The sequence below is a fragment of the Homo sapiens genome, chromosome 3 (genome assembly GCF_000001405.40).
Source record: "Homo sapiens chromosome 3, GRCh38.p14 Primary Assembly".
Taxonomy (NCBI): Eukaryota; Metazoa; Chordata; class Mammalia; order Primates; family Hominidae; genus Homo; species Homo sapiens.
This window is the reverse complement of record NC_000003.12, coordinates 150,076,562-150,082,444: the sequence shown is the minus strand read 5'-3', so window position 1 is coordinate 150,082,444 and position 5,883 is coordinate 150,076,562. Positions and strand designations below refer to the sequence as shown.

General features: G+C 43.0%; 1 long non-coding RNA gene across 4 annotated transcripts; it reads left to right on the top strand.

The window, feature by feature from the left end:
• Nucleotides 1-630: 630 nt before the first annotated feature.
• Nucleotides 631-4,951, top strand: LINC01998 (long intergenic non-protein coding RNA 1998). 4 transcript variants are annotated; one of them, NR_183737.1, is made up of 3 exons: nt 631-759; nt 1,440-1,512; nt 3,064-4,951. It is a non-coding gene; the product is annotated as a long intergenic non-protein coding RNA 1998 (long non-coding RNA). The 4 variants fall into 4 exon arrangements; NR_183736.1 differs by lacking the exon at nt 1,440-1,512; NR_183735.1 differs by lacking the exons at nt 631-759; nt 1,440-1,512 and adding an exon at nt 2,317-2,406.
• Nucleotides 4,952-5,883: the final 932 nt, after the last annotated feature.

Genomic DNA, 5,883 nt, shown 5'->3' with positions numbered 1-5,883 from the left:
CATTCTCCTGCCTCAGCCTCCTGAGTAGCTGGGACTACAGGCACCCGCCACCACACCCGGCAAATTTTTTGTATTTTTAGTAGAGACGGGGTTTCACCGTGTTAGCCAGGATGGTTTCGATCTCCTGACCTCGTGATCTGCCTGCCTTGGCCTCCCAAAGTGCTGGGATTACAGGCGTGAGCCACTGTGCCCGGCCAAGAAAGGCTTTCTGCAGGGGGAGACATCTAAGATTAGTTGTGAAGGATGAGTAGGAGTTCTTCAAACAAAGAAGGGTGGAAGGAAATTCCAGGCATGTTCAGAGATGTGGAGATTGGAGACAGCAAGAATAAACACAGTTTCTGCCAAGGGGCACAGTTTCTGGAAAGTAGGGGGGAGGGCCATTTTAAAGGGGAATGGCATGTAATCATAATCATCACTAATGCTCACATAGTGCTTGCCACGCACCAGGCTATATTCTAAGCACTTTACATATACAAATGCATTTTTTTTTTTTTTTTTTTTTTTTTGAGACGGAGTCTCACTCTTTCGCCCAAGCTGGACTGCAGTGGCGCTATCCCGGCTCACTGCAAGCTCCGCCTCTTGGGTTCATGCCATTCTCCTGCCTCAGCCTCCCGAGTAGCTGGGATTACAGGCGCCCACCACCACGCCCGGCTAATGGTCTCGATCTCCTGACCTCGTGATCCGCCCGCCTCGGCCTCCCAAAGTGCTGGGATTACAGGCGTGTACAAATGCATTTAATCCTCACAGCCACCCTGAAAGGTAGGTGAAATTATCACCCCCAATTGCAACAAAGAACAGAGGCACAAAAATGCAAAGCAACTCGGTCAGTATTTCATGGCTTATACTTTCAACACTGTGCTATTAGACTATCTTTCAAAAGTGTGTGTGTGTGCATGTGTGTGAAAGAGAGAACATGAAAAACTCCAAAGACAGAAACAAAGAGACCAAAGTTTGGGGAAACATATAAATTTTGGAAAAAATTAAACCAATGGAGGGGCTTTATTCTAGAGAAGAGGGCTGAGAAGGCAGCATGAAGAAAATGAGCCTCAGTAATATTAAGGAGCCTGTACGTTAACTCAAGTAAGAATTTTCTGCCAATTAGAAGTAAGCTAAGTCAGACACGCGTCACCCAAGGGAGCTGCCAACTCTACTTGCTGCAGGTTGTGCTCCTTGGAAATGTTTTGAATTGGTCTGAATCCTGCCAGCTGACTTGAGCAGGATGTGAAGAAGACACATAAGTTTGTTGGAATGTGTAAACTCTTTGAGTGCACATGTTCGATAAATATTAATTGATGGCAAACCAAATTTAGTGCTATAACTAAGATTAGTAACATTAATTGAGAACACTTCTCATTTTATACATAGTTGTTATGTTTCATGGCCAACAGGTAAAAATTCTATAAGGAAAATTTTGCATTTTCTATCTTCTCTTTTTTAAGGACTTTGGTATAGATAAGCTATCACTGGTTATTAAGAAGTTCCATGTTCAATTTGCAATCCACTTCTGGCAAGGTAAAAAGAACTTTGTGATATTAGTTTAATTACTAATCTTTTCCCCATTTCATCTTGTTTTTTCAACACTTATTTCCTCCCCATATTCACTATTTAAAAATAAATTATTGCAGTATATGTATCGTTGAAAATGACAAATTTTTCTGAAACAAGATAGGGTATAATTAAATACACATGTAAACCAGATGTTACTTGGAGACTACTTGCAGATTAGGTAAAAATTAGTTTATCCCCAACCTCAGGACCTCAAGGTATCTCCATGATTTCTGCACTCCTGTGGGCCATGTCAGTTCAGCCCTATTTATTCATTTTTTTAGCTCATTCTTTCAACAAGTACTTACTGACCTCCTACTACATCCCAGGCATTATTATAGGCAATAACAACAACACAATGGTGCAAAACACAGGCAAGTTCCTGTTGTGGCAGAATTTAAATTCCAGTGGGTGAGAGGCAAACAAACGAAAGGGAGGAATTCAATGCAAGAAAAGAGATTTTCAGATAGTGAAAAGTTTGATGAAGAAAGTGAAACAGGGTCCTGTGAGCTCCTGAGATGTAGTGAATTTCCCCTTGGGGGTTAGGGAAGTCTTCCCTTGAAGGTGGCTGCTGGCTGAGGCCTGGATGGCCAGCTTGGCAGCCTGTAAATCTGGAGGAGGGGTTCCTGGCAAAGGGAACCACCAGGGCCAAAGCTTTGAGGCCAGGCTGAGCTGCGCACATTTCAAAGACAAGGGAGGCCTGAGTGGCTGAGATTAGTTGCACTCAGGAGAGAAAGGGTGGCTATGGGGGATGAGCAGCCGGAAGGGGCCAGATCACACAGGGCTTTGTAACCAGAAGAAGGAGGTGGACGTTTCTTCTAAGTGGGAGTCCTAAGGGATCTGATTGCTGATTTTTAAGAGGTCAGTGTTTCTGTTTTGTGGAGAGAAGATTGAACAGAAGCAGAAATGAAAGCAGAACACCCATTAAGAGATTCTTGCGTTGAGAGCGAGGCTGCTTGAACTACAAGGTACTGGACATTCAGGCAGAAGTAGACAGAGGCAGTTTCTGTTGTAGAGATACTGAGAGAGGCAAACCTTCCTCCTCAGTCTCCCACCTACTCCCTTTGATGGCTTCTGCAAGAAACTCAATTGAACCAACTGGGTTTTTTGGAATTTTACAAAAGATTTGCAGGGCCCTGAGGAGGGGTTCACTTTGGGGAATATGTGGGTATCTTGGATACCGCCCCCTTTGTCTCACTCTGCCCTTTTTAAGGGTCCCTGGTGCCTATCCATGGCCTTCCCCTCTATCCAAATCCTCTAACATATGTAATCCTGCCCCCACAACCAGCTTCCTCCAAGGGAGCAGCCCCTGTGCACCAATATCAGTTTCAGATCATTGCAAGCATATTAACTCACACAGAAATCCACCCACATTCCACATTAAATATTATTTACATGAGTTGACTTGTGGCTGACTAGATGATATGGTATTACAGTTTGCAGACATTTAATTAGACATTTATCTTTATTTTATGATTTACTTTTCTGTTGTTGTAATCTATATATATATATTTTCAGATCTCAAACATTTTGTGGGCCATTACAAAGCTCATGTCCCCTATGTCTGTGGGGCCTAATGATTCAAACAGCCGTGACCAGGCCTGCCTGTGTGGCCCAGCCTGGCTGGCATTCAAGTGAATAACATCATCTCCATCTCACTGCACAGAAGTATGAACTGCGGTGTCAGCAGGTTTCCATGACACCACCGGTGATGTAGAGCACACATCTCTCCCACACTCTGCTGGTTACCAGGCCCTGGCAGTACAGACCAGGCCTCCTGGGTTGCCTTCCTCCTTCCGGCTCACAGGTTCCTCTTCACTCCCATGCTCTGCTCCCCAGACCTCTGGCCCAGAAGGAGTGACCCAGAGCCTGAGGCAGGAGAAATTTTGAGGCGGAGACTGGAGCTGAGGATGAGGCCCAGGCCCGGCTAGAGAGAAAACACTGAGAAGGGACTGAGGCCCCCACATGCTGGAATCTTGTGAAAAGAGGTGAAGGCAAAGCTGGGGATGAGAGAGAGAAGACGGAGCAGGAGATTAGCAAGGAAATAAGGTGGGGAAACAGCTGGGAAGACAGACATGCATCTGGAAGATTCCAGAAAAGGCCATTTCATCCAGCCCTGCTCCAGCAGTTTGTATTTCAGCAGCCTCACGGGACACCTGGCCTTTCCTTTCTGACATCGTTCTCCATCCATCCAGCACCTCTTGGAGATCACAAGGGGCTCTCCACATGAGACTTTTGAAACTAAGAAATAGATTTGGGTGTTGCACGTGTTTGCTCTGGAGCCACATTGCTTGGGCTCAAATCCCAGATCCATGGCTTCATCACCTATGAACCTTGGGCACATTTCCCCACATGCCTGTGCCTCAGTTTCCTCAGCTGTGAAATGGAGTGATAATAGTTCCTACTTTTACTGAGTCATTGTGACGTTTTCTGTGAAAGGCCTAACATATGAAAAGCACTCCATAAATGTTTAGCTATTATTATTTCAAGGAATTGTAAAAACAGGATCACAAAATTGTGGAATATCATTAATGTTTACATTTAACAAATTATACCCTTTAATTCAGAAAATGCAATGGCATATAACTGTGGTATTTACAGGTAATATAGAAGTTAAGGTTTTTTCTATATAATTAACTTATAGCACCCTAGAGGTAGGATGGTTCAGTCATGGGACGTGAGTTTAGAGCTGAATGAGAAGTATCTGTGTTATGACTGTATTTATAACCTCATTTGGAAGCAACGTTAAAAGCCTAAATTTGAGATCCTTTGTAAATGTTTGTCTCCAAGCCAAATGCTTTTTCCTGGTCCCCTTCCTGACTCATGCTCCCACCCCCGTTCATATCTTAAAATGATTAGGGCAGAAAAGGGTGGGGGAGTTGGAATAGACTCTACTTCCTGCCTCTCTGATTTTACAATTAGATTAACAGGGCATAAGGCCTTTACCTCTACAACTGGATGATTTATAGTTTTATATATATTACACACACACACACACACACACACACACACACACAGAGAAAGAGAGAGAGACAGAGAGAGATATTCAGCCTAATATGTCAGTATAGATCCTTTTGCAATTCATGAGCATGATGATGTGGTATCACACTTACGTGTGAGATGTGCCTCCCTCAAACCTTCTTCCTACAGGTTGGCACTTTGCCCACCTGACATGAAAAAAGAAGTCAATGTAGAAGGAGAGGTAATACAAGGCTAAAACTCACTTGTCCTGTAAACAACTGAAGACAAGCCAGTCTTTGAGATGAAAGCCTGCAGGTGCTAGCCAAAAGAGAAGGGTGGGGAGGACAGGTAAACTTTCCCTACCTTACAATTTGGTTTTTACTCACATATGCCCAATAGAAGCTGTGTGTAATGCAAGCAATAAAATGAATGACTTTCTACCAAATGGCACTCTTCATGGCTGCAAACGTGACCCTAAACTACAGCAGTCTATAATGTGGCAGACTCAAGAGGGACACAAAGTTAACACTGCCCCATGCTTTCCCCTGGAAACACCAATGCCATGCATGAAGGGCTTTGTGGCTGCTAACCCAGGGAACATTGCTTGCAGAACTTTAGAAACAGGAGCCTTGCCAGCTCTCAGGGAAGCTAAGATGAAAAGTCTACCTAGAGTACAGCAGACTGGTTGACCTTTCAAAGGCCCTTTTATCCTCGAGAGTCTGTGGTTTTGATGTAGTGTTGAGTACTTTTTAACTTTCTCTCGAGAAGTGTCAGTAAGTAGATGAAAAATAAAGTCTGGTTCTGCACAAATGCACTAATTCCCCCATGCATTTTCAAAGATTTTTAAAAATAGAGAAATTTTATAGTCACATAATAAGTAATAATAATCCAAACATGATGAGAAATTTAAATTTGTCTGCTTTGCAGATCTAAGAGTTCAAAATTGCTATGAAGGCATATTTTGGGGGGATACTATTTTATATACATGGGAGACAAGTCATTGTTGCTCTGCAAATAGTAGGAAGACAGCACTTTTTTTGAGTGAGTTTTTAAGAAAGTTTTTCGTGTCTTCATGTTAATTATTTTGGAGGAAATAGAGTCACTGGATAACGATGATAACTTAAAAATAGCTAACCTTTATTAAATGCAGTCTATCTCAGTTATCTATTGCTATATAACAGGCCACAAAATTTAGTTGCTTAAGACAATATTTTATTATTTCTTAGGGTTTTATGGATTGACTGGGCTCAGCTGGGAGGTTCTTCTGCTCCACATGGTGTCTGCTGAGACTGGAATGTCCAAGATAGCTGTCTGGTGCCTCAGTTGGCCTGGATAAAAGAGCTTGGGTTTTGTTGGGCATTTCTATCTTTCTCTCTC